This window comes from Homo sapiens, chromosome 14 (genome assembly GCF_000001405.40).
Source record: "Homo sapiens chromosome 14, GRCh38.p14 Primary Assembly".
Taxonomy (NCBI): Eukaryota; Metazoa; Chordata; class Mammalia; order Primates; family Hominidae; genus Homo; species Homo sapiens.
In genome coordinates, this window is record NC_000014.9 from 90,782,189 (window position 1) to 90,798,237 (window position 16,049).

At 48.8% G+C, this 16,049-nt stretch overlaps 1 protein-coding gene across 3 annotated transcripts in view, besides 1 other annotated feature; it reads right to left on the bottom strand.

Moving 5' to 3' along the window:
• TTC7B (tetratricopeptide repeat domain 7B) overlaps positions 1-16,049 on the bottom strand; it is a 291,867-nt gene that overhangs the window by 257,625 nt on the left and 18,193 nt on the right. For all 3 annotated transcript variants that reach the window (NM_001320421.2, NM_001010854.2, NM_001401365.1), the window contains exon 2: positions 3,986-4,140. Coding sequence is in view for 2 of the 3 variants with exons in the window: in NM_001010854.2 (NP_001010854.1) it covers positions 3,986-4,140 (155 nt within the window). In the remaining variant the exon portion in view is untranslated. The remainder of the gene's footprint in view (positions 1-3,985; positions 4,141-16,049) is intronic.
• Positions 11,604-11,766: a silencer, noted in NCBI's record as "fragment chr14:91260136-91260298 (GRCh37/hg19 assembly coordinates)". NCBI's record gives its function as "represses an EF-1alpha promoter that drives an FKBP-Casp9 reporter gene in an ReSE screen in K562 erythroleukemia cells {active_cell/tissue: K562}" and the evidence as "EXISTENCE:reporter gene assay evidence [ECO:0000049][PMID:32094911]".

Genomic DNA, 16,049 nt, shown 5'->3' on the forward strand with positions numbered 1-16,049 from the left:
GGACAAGCAGGACTGATGGGAGCAAAAGTGTTTATGGGTGGCCCAAGGGAGAGGCACCAGAGGAATTAGAATTACATCTGGAGACAGAGAAATCAAAGCAGACTCAGAAAAGAGAAAAAAAGCATCCAGGCCGAGTGCGGTGGCTCACACCTATAATCCCAGCACTTTGGGAGGCCGAGGCAGGCAGATCACTTGACGCCAGAAGTTCGTGACCAGCCTGGCCAACATGGTGAAACCCCATCTCTACTAAAAATACAAAAATTAGTGGGGCATGGTGGTGCACACCTGTAATCCCAGCTACTCAGGAGGCTAAGGCACAAGAATCACTTGAACCCAGGAGGCGGAGGTTGCAGTGAGCCAAGATCACGCCATTGCACTCCAGCCTGGATGACAGAGCGAGACTCTGTCTCAAAAAAAAGCATCCACCACAGGGGTTCTCCACCCAGGTAGGGGACAGGCCAGGCTTGGGTATTTTGAAAACATTTCCTAGGACATTCTGGGAAGTCTACCCTCCTTCCCCAAGCTTCTAGCCTCTAAGAACCGTTGGATTAAAGGCGAATTGAAAGAGGAGGGGGAATGAGGAGTTAGCATTAATGGACACATCACAAGAGGTTCGCTCTGGGAAGATGCAAAGAGTCCTGGAGATGGAGGGTGGTGACGGCTGAGTGACAATGGTAATATACTTAACGCCACTACACTGTACACTTACAAAGAGCTATAATGTTAGGTTGTAAGTTATGTATATTTTACCAAAAGGGAAAAAAAAAAAGGTTAACAAAAGCAAACTGGAGAGCCAGGTGGAGAAAACGCTTGAAGAAAATTGCAAGCCTAGAGGCACAGCTTGGACACACTGGGAGAGCCTCCCTGGGCGAGTCCAGTCTCCACCCAAGTACAGGAAACAGCTTGGCCAGGGCGCCTCGGCTGCCTGGGCAGTGGGAGAACAGCCCCAACACAGTGTCAGGGGCCACCTTGCTCACAATAAGGACCATTTTCTTGCCTTGAATCACAAGCCAGATGTCCTGACTCCTAGTCCAGGACTCTTTCCATCCCACTACATGCCTGGCTGGCTCTGGTCTTCCCAGCCTCAATTCACTTAAGACAAGCTGGACTTAAGCTCAAGGAAAGAGAAAGTTTCACATTAGTTGGTGTGAGTAGGACAGCACACCCATGCAAAAGATGTACGGCTTTGGAACATTCTTTATAAGATGGAGGAAGGTGAAAAAGAGCAATGGGAGAAAAAAATTCTCTAGGTAGAACTAATAACATAGCAAGAAATGATGTGTATCTAGTGCTATACAGCTTTGAAAGAATTTCTCCATTTGAGCCTCAAAACAATCCTGGGTTAAGTAGGCCTGCAGCTGAGAAACATGAAGCTCAGAGAGGTTAAGTAACGTCCCAAGATCACACAGCTTATAAATCCAGAACTGGACTCAGACTCAAGCATTTTAACTTGAATTAAATTCAACAGCTGGGTGCAGTGGCTCAGGCCTGTAATCCCAGCACTTTCGGAGGCCGACGCAGGCAGATCACCTGAGGTCAGCAGTTCGAGACCAGCCTGGCCAACATGGTAAAACCACGTCTCTATTAAAAATACAAAAATTAGCCAGGTGTGGTGGCATGCGGCTGTAGTCACAGCTACTCAGGAGGCTGAGGCATAAGAATTGCTTGAACCTGGGAGGTGGAGGTTGCAGTGAGCCAAGATGGTGTCTGGATGACAGAACAACACTCTGTCTCAAAATAAATAAATAAATAAAAAATAAAATAAATTCAATGGGCTTACTACCACACTGCATTGTAGAGGATGGAAAGCAAAACCTATCAGCACCTGGTGAAATGAAAAGTGAATTTTTCAAGATGAAGTTGGGGGGCGGGTAGACGGGGGAAAGAAACAAGCCAGATCTCTCCCCTCACACCTCCCAGCAGGACACTTGAGTCTGGCTGGCCATCACTGTGAGCTGTGGCCCATGTGCCTGCTGTCCCTTCACTCTCTCCTGCTGATCAAGACCTACCACCTGTGTCCCCAGATCAAGACCTACCCCTGTGTCCACCTGTGTCATCATGTCATCGGTTAAGAACATATGAGATGAGGCCGGGAGCGGTGGCTCACGCCTGTAATCCCAGCACTTTGGGAGGCTGAGGTGGGCGGATCACGAGGTGAGGAGATTGAGACCATCCTGGCTAACACGGTGAAACCCTGTCTCTACTAAAAATACAAAAAATTAGCCGGGCGTGGTGGCGGGTGCCTGTAGTCCCAGCTAGTCAGGAGGCTGAGGCAGGAGAATGGCATGAGCGCGGGAGGCAGAGCTTGCAGTGAGCGAAGATCACGCCACTGCACTCTAGCCTGGGTGACAGAGCCAGACTCCATCTCGAAAAAAAAAAAACATATGAGATGGATGAGATGGAGATGGGGTTTCGCCATGTTGGCCAGGCTGGTATTGAACTCCTGGCCTCAAGTGATCTGCCACACACCAAAGTGTGGCATGGCCCTTACAGAGAAACTGAATGGGGAAAGAGAAGACCTGGTTTTTGAAGCCCAAATGCAGCAGGGAGTCTTTAAGTACCTGGGATCCCTATGCTGAGCTGACCTCTCCAGCCACCCCCTAGGGGCCTGGGGCAAGATCCCTGTGTTGAGATGACGCTCTCCAGCCACCTCCTAGCGGCCTGGAGCTGTGTCCCGTGCATACAACATACACAGAGACAATTTTGAAAGCAGCTCTCTATCAGGGTTTCCAGAAGCCTGTTGCTGCACAACTGACCAACACCAATACTAACTTACTCAAAGGTTGCCCAGGCCCTCCATTGCAGCAGGGCCAAGGAGGTGGCCAGATGACCAAGAGGAGGAACAGCTCAAATTGAAAGCTCACAGGCTTAGAACATGCAGGAGCCGGGAAGGTCCAAGCTCACCCCTTTAAGAGCCCACCCCATTCAAACCTAAAGAAACTGAGCTGCAGAGAGGCGAGTAACCTCCCCGGGGTCACACAGCAAGTCGGGAGCAGGCTGGAGTTTGCAGTACAGATATGAAATGTAAAGCCAAAGAAAGCATGGCTTCCCGGGGGGAAGCGTGCACACACAAACAAGAATAAAGACCAAAAATGGAGTCTCAGAGGATTCCGAGACAGGAAGAGAAGAAAAATGAGAAAGAAGTCATCAAAGTTAAAAGGAAACGGAAGTCAGAGCTCCAGAAGTTCACCAAAGACTGTCCTCAGTGGGAAATACATCCTGGGGAAGACAGGCAGCATGGAGCGGGCCACAGACAGCCATCTGAACTAGGGGAAGCATCTAGAGCCAGGGGAGTGTGAGCCACCTGGGAGGCAGAAGGGCAGGGCGGGAAGAGGAGATGACCCCCATGAAAAGCAAAAGGAACTGATGAGGAGTCCAAGAAGAAAGGAAGGAAAGCCACGTGAGAGGGAATGGAAACCTGGGTGTAATGAGACCGGAAAACAGAATGGACAGATAGGGGGCAGCACCTAAGATTCCTTGTGCCTGAGGGTGAGGGTTCTTGCTGAGACGTGGGGAAGTTCCTGGCCCCCTCCCAACTGTGACGCCAGGCCTGCTGGCACCAGTATGGAACCTCCCACAGCTCTGGGCCACAGTGGCTTCTTACATTGATGAGCAGGAAGCTGTGCGCTGAGCATCCTTCTGATTAACTTCTCTCTTTTCTAGAACTGCGTAACATGTCAGGTTAAGCTCTGGGTTATATCGGATAGCTTTAGTTCAAGCGTCTGAGAGATAAGTGGCATTGTGCAGATGACGTGTCATTGAAGACTCTCATCAGAGAGACCCTATTGGCCCAGAAGCCCCCACAGTGGTCAGCCAGCCTAGAGATTGGCACATCCACCCAACTGGGAGCTGGCCCGCTTCTAAGAAGACAAGCCCTGGCAGTGTGCAGGTGAGCTCCAAACGTCACCCGGCTCAACCCTGGGCACCCTTCTCAACCCCACACTGTCCAAAGGAAGTGTCGCCTCAGCCCAGAGGCCCATGGTACCTTAAGGTTCCCTCGGTCCAGGGCGGCGGTCAGATGCTTGCGGACCTCAGTCAGCTGGGGCTTGGGGCCTCGGGGACTGGCCCCCTGCCTCAGGGGGTGTTCCTTCAGGTACTGCTCCAGCTTCGACTCCCCGAGGAGAAGCTCTGCCATGTCATCTACAAAAACAAAGTGAGAACAAAGTGGGAGCAAGGAATGGCCTGCATGTAGGACCCCCTCACTCAAGGGACCCCAGAACCACCACCCTCCGAGGCTCCAGGCCCCCAGCAAGGTCCTTCTGGAACTTCATAGCCTTCATAGGGTCTAAGTGGGCACCACCTCATAGTGAATTCAGTTCATTTAAAGAATGTTCCAGTAGCATGTACTCAAATAGGTGTTGGCTCAAACACTCCATCATTTCTTTGCCAGTAGATACTTTTTTTTTTTGAGATGGAGTTTCGCTCTTGTTGCTCAGGCTGGAGTGCAATAGCACGATCTCGGCTCACCGCAACCTCCACCTCCCGGGTTCAAGCGATTCTCCTGCCTCAGCTTCCCGAGTAGCTGGGATTACAGGCACCTGCCATCACGCCCGACTACTTTTTTGTGTTTTTAGTAAAAACAGGGTTTCACCATGTTAGCCAGGCTGGTCTCAAACTCCTGACCTCAGGTGATCCGCCCACCTCGACCTCCAAAAGTGCTGGGATTACAGGCATGAGCCACTGCGCCTGGCTGCCGGTAGATACACATTAACGTGGAGAGAGTTCAAGTTCAGTAGGAAAAAAACAAAGGTGGCTTATGATGTGTTCATTATGATCTTTATAAAACACACACAAACCCCAGTGTTACGTATTTTCAAGAGTGGCGCGATGAAATCCCCAGCTCTGGTGCTGTATTCTATGCAGCTGGTGGAATGTCTGTACAGCCAGATCTTAAGATGAGTCTGTGTCAAAATGACCTGAACGCAAGTCTGTATTCTTGCAGAGTAACAGAGTGTTCGTCTGTTTCTGTCTAAAAGTCATAACTATACAGATATCTGGGAATGCTTGCATGAAGCTTTTACTCCCGAGAGCATACTACTACTTACGGTTATAACTTGTTGATGTCTATATTGGCTTAATTCAAATGAAAAGTTCACTCCAGGAGCAGCTCTTTGTAATCCACACCACCCCCCAGACTCTTCTGAATAAACCCAGAACAACTCATACACCAGCCTAAGCATGGTCTATTTTTCTGGGATGGGACAGAACATAATTGTATTAAAATATAAAATCAGTTTTAAAAGGTCTGGAAGGACATATCTTAAGGCCATGATAGTAGTTACAGCTGGGGTGCTGGGGAGGGGACCTCAACTGGGGTTGGTGGCAAAAATGGACTTTAGCTTTGTCTTTAACATCCTGGTCCTAAAAAGAAGACTAGATTTACCTATTATATATGCAATCTAAAATTAATTCAAAAAGTCATCAGCGAGGACCCCCCTAAGATTCTGGGTGGTAAGTCCACCAAAGGCCAAGAGCTAAAACAAAAGCCTTTTCCACATGTTCTGAGAAGTTGGCCCAAAACTGCTGAATCTATAGGTCTTAGCATGCTCTATCTATGTACTGGGAAGCCTAAAATAACCTTTTAGAGATGAGACCTAGAGTTCTGGGAGGAGCCAATTAACACGAAAACAGGGCTGAGTTCAGGTACTGAACTCAAGAACTCATTAGACATGCAAGAAGAAAAAGCAAGTCTGGCCAGCCATGGTGGTTTATGCCTGTAATCCCAACACTTTGGGAGGCTGAGGCAGGGGAATCACCTGAGGTCAGGAGTTTGAGACCAGCCTGGCCAATGTGGTGAAACCCGGTATCTACTAAAAATACAGGAAAACTAGCCAGGCATGGTGGTGTGCACCTGTAATCCCAGCTACTAGGGAGGCTGAGGCAAGAGAATCACTTGAACCCAGGAGTGGAAGTTGCAGTGAGCCGATATTGCATCACTGTACCCCAGCCTGGGCGACAGAGTGGGACTCTGACTCAAAAAAAAGAGGAAATCAGGCAAGGCCACAGCAGCATCCAATGCCAGAAGACAATGAAGTGGCGCATACAGAGTACACTGGGGTACAAAGTGCGACTCCAGTGCGTGGGGCCGGTCCAGACACCAGCCAGGCACCAAGGCAACAAGCAGCTTCCTCCCAGACACACAAGCCCTTCTCAAGAAATGAAACCCAGCTCATAAAGAAACCCAGGACTCAGGAACGAAGGACATGTAGGCAAAGGCCTGAGTGTTTCTTACAGAATACTAAATGCCCACAAGAATTAGAGCCACAGAACAAATATGAATGTCAGAAAGCAATACGTTGCAAAAACAATCATATATCCGAAATTGGGAGGAGCTTCGGAGTGTCATGCCTTTATCTTTCAAAACACTGTACCATGTGCTCTTAAAAAAAAAAATCAATCTAATCTTTTACTATTTTTCAAAAATTTGTTTAAATTTTAGTGAACTCTCAGGAAATAATGAAGAACCATTTATTTAGAGCTCAAAAATTCCTTTAGGCAGGGCGCAGTGGCTCACACCTGTAATCCCAGCACTTTGGGAGGCCAAGGTGGGCAGATCACGAGGTCAAGAGATTGAGATCAACCTGGCAAACATGGTGAAACTCTGTCTCTACTAAAAATACAAAAATTAGCTGTGCATGGTGGTGTGCACCTGTAATCCCAGCTACTTGGCAGGCTGAGGCAGGAGAATCGCTTGAACCCAGGAGGCAGAGGTTGCAGTGAGCCAAGATCATGCCACTGCACTCCAGCTTGGCAACAGAGTGAGACTCCATCTCAAAAAAAAAAAAATTCCTCTAAATTCATTTTCATTTTTTCCTTTTAATATTTATGAATAAACTTATTAATACTATAATAATAGACCAGTGCTGTTCAATAGAAATATATGCAAGCCACATACATAATTTAAAAATTTTGTTTTGTTTTGTTTTTCTTGAGACAGAGTTTCGCTCTTGTCGCCCAGGCTGGAGTGCAATGGCACAATCTCAGCTCACTGCAACCTTCGCCTGGGTTCAAGCAATTCTCCTGCCTCAGCCTCCAGAGTAGCTGGGATTACAGGCACCCACCACCATGCCCAGCTAATTTTGTATTTTTAGTAGAGACGGAGTTTCGCCATGTTGGCCAGGCTGGTCTTGAACTCCTGACCTCAGGTGATCCGCCTGACTTGGCCTCCCCAAGTGCTGGGATTACAGGCATGAGCCACTATACCCGGCCTTAATTTATAAATTTTAATAGCCATGTTAAAAAAGGAAAAGAAGGCAGGGCTCGGTGGCTCATGCCTATAATCTCAACACTTTAGGAGGCCTAGACAGGTGGATCACTTGAGCCCGAGAGTTTGAGACCAGCCTGGACAACATCGCAAGAAAAAAAAAGTGGAATTAATTTAAATAACATTTTATTTAACTAAATATAACCAAAATACTATCAGGTCAGCCGGGCGCGTGGCTCACAGCTGTAATCCCAGCACTTTTAGGAGGCCAGGGCAGGTGGATCATGAGGTCAGGAGATCAAGACCATCCTGGCTAACACGGTGAAACCCCGTCTCTACTAAAAATACAAAAAATTAGCCGGGCGTGGTGGTGGGTGTGTGTAGTCCCAGCTAGTCGGGAGGCTGAGGCAGGAGAATGGCGTGAACCTGGGGGGTGGAGCTTGCAGTAAGCGGAGATCGCGCCACTGCACTGCAGCCTGGGCAACAGAGCGAGACTCTGTCTCAAAAAAAAAAAAAAAAAATACTATCAGGTCAACATGCAATCATATTTTTAAAATATTAATGAGACCTTACATTCTTTTTTCATATTAAGTTTTCCAAATCTTGTGTGTATTTTACACTCACAGCACATGTCAGCTCTAACCTGTACATTTCAAGTGGTCAATAGCTACATGTAGCTAGGGGATATCATATTGGACAGCAATATGATCACTGTTTATAGAAGTCTGTCTAAATATCTACCTTTATATCTGTCTGTGTCCCTACAAAGATGTCTAAAATGATCATCACTTAGTGTAAACAATAGGAATTTCTGAATGATAAGATTTGGGATAATTTTTAAATTCTCATCTTTGTGGTTTAAATTATTTACATTGAGCAAAATTCTTTTATATCACTTTTAGAAAAAAAAAAAAGTAACTCTTCTTTAAAAACTGGAAGTATATATACCAGGATATTAATAGTGGTTACTTCTGAGTGGTAAGACTATCCATCTATGTAGAACTTCTTTTCTGTATATTTTTAAATTCCAAAAAACAAAATAAAATAGAACTTGGGATTCAGAGTCCTAGATTTAAACCCAAATTTGTCACTCGGTGACTTTGGCCCAATGATTTAACTTCATTGATTCTGGGAAGCAATTCCAAGAAAGCACCTCTTTCGGCCTGAGCGGAGGACTCCTCTCTCCCCACCCCTCCTCACGACCTCACCCCTCCTCGCCTCCCTGCCACAGGGACCCTGCATCTGAAAATGGCTCCTCTGGGCAGAATCTCCAAGCCAGGGAGCAGAAACAACGGGAGATCAGGACCCCTGCTACCTATTCTAGCTGTGGGGGCACATGACTTACCCTCTCAGAGCCACAATTCCATTTACAGACTGTGGGCTAGAGCTACTGAGTTCTCAGTGGGAAAACTCTATGGCCCAGAGTGAACACACCTCCCAGCTGGGCCTCAGAGGATGAGTAGGACCTGGGCTGGCAAAAAGCAGAGGGAAGGGCAAACCAGGCTGAAGGAACAGCACAACCAAAGCCACAGCACAGAGCCCAGGAAAGCGGAGAGAACCAAGTGGCAGGGGAATAGGATGTGGATAGAAAGCTGGAGAATCAAGCTGGGATCAGAATGCCCAGATGTCAATGCTTCCCGCTCCTGACCTCCCGACTCAGCACCCCCACCACAGGGAGACATCCAAAGCCCTCAGCAATGGAAAACAGGTCCTGGCCAAGTGTCACATGTGCCACCCCTTTGGAATGTTCTGGCATCCTGAGGACACCATTCACCGCTACTTAGTGAACACCTACGAATATTCCAAGCGCTGCAGACCTCTCCTCCAGGTGCCTCATCCCAAACCACCTCGAGCAGCCCCAGGAACCCTGAGCACCCTGGGTGTTCATCAGTCTGTCTGCCCCTTCTAGACTGTAAGGAGGAGGCCTAAAGGAAGAACCTGTGTGTTGTGCACAATATCTGGCACAGAGTCCATGCTCAATAAATGGTGAATTAATTAGATGATAGGGAAGGCATCTGCATCTTCCCCAGGGTTAGGGCGGTCATTGCCTGTGGCAGAGTCTGCTTGTTGTCCCAGAATATTCACTCTCCCTTTCTTCCTTTAGTATTAAAATTCCCATGTTTTATCAGAGCACGCGGCTGCCCAGTTAAAGACTACACATCCCAGGCTCCCTGATGGCGACATGCTGCCCCGTGACTACGTTATGACGATGGGATGGGAGCAGAGGTGTTGCACGCAGCTTCTGGGCTTGGCCTTTAGAGGGAATAGGCTTGCCCGCCAGTCCCTGTTCACCCTCCCCCATAGGCTGGACCTTGGCAGTGCTGATGGAAAATGGCACGCCCATCTGAGACCACAAGCTGGAAGCCACCTATTGAGGATGAGCAGAGCAGAGCAGCGCCACACAAGGCTTGCTAGATCCCCAACACCAGGAGCTGCCACCGAGCCCCCGACTGCTTATGTGAGAGTGAAACATGAACTTCTATCCTGATCTACTTTCTAAGTCACTGTGATCTTTGTTACAGGGGCCAAACTGGAATCTTAACCAGATCTCCCAAACAAGAAACCAGCTTCAGGCTGAGAACTCCTATCTGGAAACACCCCATCAACCTCAAGTCCTCAAGTTTACCGGTCTCCAAACAGAATTCCCAGAACCCAACTGAGGGCCTTTGCAGAATCCGCAGACCCTGCACTTCTCCTGCTGCTTTGGTTTTACATCCCAGGCTTGCCAAATTTTTATTTAAACAATGGGTTTCATAGTTGCAGAGAGGTGTAAAAACTGCTACCCAAGTGCTATGCGGATTCAGGGCCTTTGTGTTTCTCTGATCTCCTGATGCTGGGGGAATGCGCCAGAGTCGTGATGCCAAGATGTGGAGAGCGCTCAGTTCCATCAGCAGCAACTGGGGGCAGGGTGCGGTGGCTCACGCCTGTAATCTCAGCACTTTGGGAGGCCGAGGCAGGTGGATCGCTTGAGGTCAGGAGTTCAAGACCAGCTTGGCCAATATGCAGAAACCCTGTCCCTACTAAAAATACAAAAATTAGCCAGGCATGGTGGTGCACGCCTGTAATCCCAGCTACTCTGGAGGCTGAGGCAGGAGAATCACTTGAAACTGGGAAGCAGAGGTTGCAGTGAGCTGAGATTGTGCCACTGCACTCCAGCCTGGGCAGCAGAGCAAGACTCTGTCTCAACAACAACAACAACAAAAGCAGCAACTGGGAGAGCACGGTGCAGGAAAATGATCAACGGAGAAAAAAGTTTTTCCTCAGAATTAGGAGACACAGTCCCTTCCCTCACGACACCCCAGTCTCTCAAGACCATTCAACACAATACAGGCTCTAATGAAGATGTGTACAGTATTGGATGGGGGTGGGAGAGGAGACAAAGCTTGCACCAAGAATGTGATGCTACACATTTGCAAGATGGAAAATGTGGGGAAAAGAATTGCAGACAGAAGGAATAGAATATGCAAAGGTATGGCATGCCCTACTCGTTTGGGGAATTACAAGTCGTTTGTTAGAACCAAACCATGAAGTGCTGGGAGAGTGATATGGTTTGGCTCTGTGTCCCCACCTAAATCTCATCTCAAATTGTAATCCCCACCTGTCAAAGGAGGGACCTGGTAGGAGGTGATTGGATCATGAGGCAGTTCCCCCATGCTGTTCTCATGAGACTGTGTTCTCACGAGACCTGATGGTTTTATAAGTGGTGATTTCCCCTGTGCTTTTTCTCTCTCTCTTGTTTGCCGCCTTCTGAAGAAAGTCCTTGCTTCCCATTTACCTTCCACCATGACTGTGAGTTTCCTGAGACCTCCCCAGCCATGTGGAACTGTGAGTCAATTAAACCTCTTTCCTGGCCAGGCACAGTGGCTCATGCCTGTAATCCCAGCACTTTGGGAGGCCAAGGTGGGCGGATCACCTGAGGTCAGGAGTTCGAGACCAGCTTGGCCAACATGGCAAAACCCCGTCTCTACTAAAAATACAAAAATTAGCCAGGCGTGGTGGCAGGTGCCTGTAATCCCAGCTACTCAGGAGGCTGAGGCAGGAAGAATCGCTTGAACCCAAGAGGCGGAGGTTATAGTGAGCTGAGATTGTGCCATTGCACTCCAGCCTTGGCGAAAGAGCAAGACTCTGTCTCAAAAAAAAAAAAAAAGAATCTCTTTCCTTTATAAATTACCCAGTCTCAGGTATTTCTTTTGTTTGTTTGTTTGTTTTTTTCTTTTTTTCTTTTTTTTTTTTGAGATGGAGTTTTGCTCTTGTTGCCCAGGCTGGAGTGCAATGGCACGTCTTCTGCTCACCGCAACCTCCACCTCCTGGGTTCAAGCAATTCTCCTGCCTCAGCCTCCCGAGTAGCTGGGATTACAGGCATGCACCACTATGCCCAGCTAATTTTGTATTTTTAGTAGAGACAGGGTTTCTCCATGTTGGTCAGGCTGGTCTCGAACTCCCAACCTCAGGTGATCCGCCCGCCTCGGCCTCCCAAAGTGCTGGGATTATAGGCGTGAGCCACCGCGCCCGGCCTTGTTTGTTTTCTTCGAAACAGTCTCATTCTATCACCCAGGCTGGAGTGCAGTGGCACCACCTCGGCTCACTACAGCCTCCGCCTCCCAGGTTCAAGCAAGTCTCATGCCTCAGCCTCCTGAGTAGCTGGGATTACAGGCACGCGCCACCATACCTGGCTAGTTTTTGTATTTTTAGTAGAGACAGGGTTTCACCATGTTGGCCAGGCTGGTCTCAAACTCCTGGCCTCAAGTGATCCACCCACCTTGGCCTCCCAAAGTGCTGGGATTACAAGTGTGAGCCACTGCACCTGGCTGGGTATTTCTTTTTTTTTTTTTTTTTTTTTTTTTTGAGACGGAGTCTCGCTCTGTCACCAGGCCGGAGTGCTGGAGTGCAGTGGCGCAATCTCGGCTCACTGCAACCTCCACCTCCCGGGTTCAAGTGATTCTCCTACCTCAGCCTCCCGAGTAGCTGGGACTACAGGCGCCTGCCACCACACCCGGCTAATTTTTTGTATTTTCAGTAGAGATGGCGTTTCACCATGTTGGCCAGGATGGTCTCAATCTCTTCACCTCGTGATCCACCTGTCTCGGCCTCCCAAAGTGCTGGGATTATAGGCATGAGCCACCGCACCCAGCCCTGGCTGGGTATTTCTTTATAGCAGTGTGAGAATGGACTAATACAGAGAGAAAGGGGGAACCGTCAGGGGAGTTTCCTGCTAGGCAGGTAGGTATCGGCTCCTCAGTTCCAAAAGGAGCTGCCTGCTCTGAGCAGGGAAGTTACAATCTCATTTGAAATTGAGCATGGTGGCTGCAAAACAATTTCCGAAATTTTTCAAAAGTCCAGGCGCTAAGTTAATCTCCCAACAAATTATGTTTTCTTTGCTTCCCTCAAAAAAGGTGAATTCCCTGCCACTCACTCTCCCAATCAGGAGGGCAGAGATATTAAAAACATCAAGAGTCAGGCCAAAGAAATCATCCAGAGGCTGCATAGTTCAGTCCTAAATGATAGAGGGGCACTGGGTGGTGTGACCAACACTCCATGAGCACTGCCTGCCCTTGTCAGGGACCTCGTGGGCTCCCAATTCAGAACCCACTAGCAAGAAAAGACATCACCTAACCAGCATTTATTACCTAATAACGTGTCCAGCTGCAAGGTAGAACAGTGTGACAAGAGGGAAAAAAGGCACTCCAGGGCATACGAGAAAATTAATTCCAGATAGATTAAAGAATTAAATATAAAACAAGATCAAAACATTAAAGCTAGACTTTTACTTCCAGCCAAGAAAGAGTAATAGGGACCAAATTTACTCTCCTATCTGAGACTACCACAAAAACAAGACAAAAAAAAAATGTTTTCAAGACATTGGGCATCAGGCAACAAAGAACAGTGACCCGTGAGAGCTGGGTAACAAACAAGGTGAGCCCACTACGGCCTTGAGAGCTTCCAGGTGCAACACAGAAGCGGGGACCTTACACTCGAATTGTGCGCAGGAAAGGCTTAAATCCCCCATGTGCCTATGCACTCACCAGGCAGAGTGTGGCACACAGCTGGTCGTGGAGCAGCCGGACTGCAAAGTGGGGCCAGAAGTGCAGTTTACAGAAAGGAGAGGCCACAGCTAGTGCAATGCAGGGGAAAGAGCTTTGGCCTCTGGCAGCCCTGGGCTTAAATCCCACCTCCCTTGCTCGCTAGCCGTGTGGCACTGGGCAAGACACTTAACCTCTCTGAGCCTTAGTTTTCTCACTTGGGTATCATGAGGATTAGAGATAATATGTAACGCACATAGTCTGAAGTAAGTGGTGAATAAACATTAGCTACTGTTATTACCATCCATTTAGGATTGACTATTTCCCAGAATAGTTATGTTGGATCTTGTGGGGCCAGAAAGCTCTAGGAGACACAAGCTCCGTGTTCAACAGGCCTGCAATGTAGCAGGAGGATATGAATGCTGTGTGAGTCATTAATAGCCCAGCCATGCTGAGCTCATACGAAGTGCCATGCAGTATGGTGAGCAGTTTACCCGATCCTGATAGTCCTGGAAACAATACTAGGATGCTATTATCATCTCCATCTCACAAACAGGGAACCAGGCAGGAGAGGGGAGCAGCATCCCTAAGGCCACAGAGCTGGTTCATCCTGGAGCTGCGTTTGAACGCAGGCAGTCTCCCTACACTCTCTCCGGCACGCCATGCACAAACTATACCATCAGCCTCCAGAAGGGGCCCAGCTTCCCTCCCAACCAGCTGGGTGACCCCGGCCCACTTAACCCCTCTGGGGCAGAGGCTGGATGGATGGTTTTGAAGTCCCTCTCCTTCACTTGCTAGGATTCTCAGGGGACAGGGGTAAAGAGGGACTCAAGGGTACCCAGGGCTGGCTTCGCTTTTCTCTTGGGCATTATTTGGGGGTTAAGTGAGGCTGCAGTAACTAGCTCCCCAATGGCTTATATAGGGATAAAGCCTGAAGCCAAAGAGAGACCACTAGTGAGACCCTCACCAAGGAGATATGGGGAATGAGCCACCCTGCAGGGGGGTCCGTGCCCTGGCTCAGCACAACAGAGCCAGTCCCCTGAGCCCTGTGGCTGGCACAGTTCAATGCCCACAGGCACTTGGCCTCCTTGATCCCCCCCACCCGGGGAAGGTGGGGCTGTGGCCTTTGCCTCTGGAAGGGACTGCCCTTCCTCCTAGTTCCTCCTTTGCTGGATAAGCAGCTGACATGCAGAGATGTGATCAGATGAGGAAGAAAAAAAGACTCTTCTCTATTCCTGGGAGTACTTGACACCAACACAAAAAATTCTCAACAACTCAGTTTCTATGTCAATAGAGAAGTATTTAGATCTATTCAAACCATTCCTGCTGCAGCTGGCATCCAGGAGGAAGAAACACACCGCTATTCAGGGAGGAGTTGGCTCCTCAGTGTCCCCTTTGTTGCCCCAAAACACAGCCAGGTTCTCCATTTCTTTTTCTTTTTTTCTTTTTTTTTTTGAGACAGTCTCGCTCTGTCACCCAGGCTGGAGTGCAGTGGCACAATCTCAGCCCGTTGCAACCTGACTCCCAGGCTCAAGCAATTCTCCTGCCTCAGCCTCCCGAGTAGCTGGGATTACAGGCGCGCACCACCACACCAGGCTAATTTTTGTATTTTAGTAGAGACAATGTTTTCCCATGTTGGCCAAGCTGGTCTGGAACTCCTGGTGTCAAGTGATCTGCCCGCCTTGGCCTCCCAAAGTGCTGGGATTACAGGCACAAGCCAACTTGCCTGACCCAGGTTCTCCATTTCTTAAGGCTCAGAAGGCCAGGTGCAGTGGCTCACACCTGTAATCCCAGCACTTTGGGGGGCCAAGGTGGGTGGATCATGAGGTCAGGAGTTCAAGACCAGCCTGGCCAATATGGTAAAACCCCATCTCTACTAAAAAAAAATACAAAAATTATCTGGGTATGGTGGCACACACCTGTTAATCCCAGCTACTCGGGAGGCTAAGGCAGGAGAATCACTTGAACCTGGGAGGCAGAGGTTACAGTGAGCCGAGATGTCTCCACTGTACTCCAGCCTGGGCAACAGAGTGAGACTTAGTCTAAAGAAAAAAAAAGCCTCAGAATGACCAGAGTGAACTCCAGCTCCTCGTTTACTGGGCTTCCTGTAATCCCGGGTAACCCAGCATTTGCAGTATTTGTGATCCCCCTGCCTCCAGAGTGCTAACAGGAAAACAGACACTGCTGTGTCATGCTGGTGGGGGTATAAATTAGCATGAGTGTCTCCAGGGGGCAATGTAGCAATTTCTACAAAGCAACTGACATACTCCCATACCAGCTGACCCAGAAATTCCAGTTTTAAGTGGTTATCCCACAGATATATGCAATCTTCAGCACAAAGATGTACAGATAGGGATGTTTACTACATACAGCCCTACTGGTCATAGCAAAAGATACGAGACAACCTATAAGGTCCTTGACAGGATACCTGTTAACTGAGTTATGGTGCACCCCATGCAGCAGGACCGTGCACCCATAAACACATGGAGCAGATCTCCATACGACTCTGTGGTGGCCTGGCTGTACGAAAGGCCATGTCTTCACGTTTCCTGAATCCCATGCTCTGTGGCCTCTTGCACTGTCCCTGGGCTTGACCCCAGGGCTTGCTCTGACTGATGGAACAGTGGAAATGTTAATGCACGCAGAGGCTTAGAAAAGGGCTTACGCACTTTTTCCCTCTTGCTTCTCTGTGACCGCCACGAGAACGTGCCTAGGCCAGCCCATACCTAGCCCAGGCCAACCTGCTGAACGATAAAAGGCCACGTGGCGCAGAGCTGAGCTGTCTAGGCAAGACTCCATAAGCGTAAGAGAGCCCAGCCAAGAGC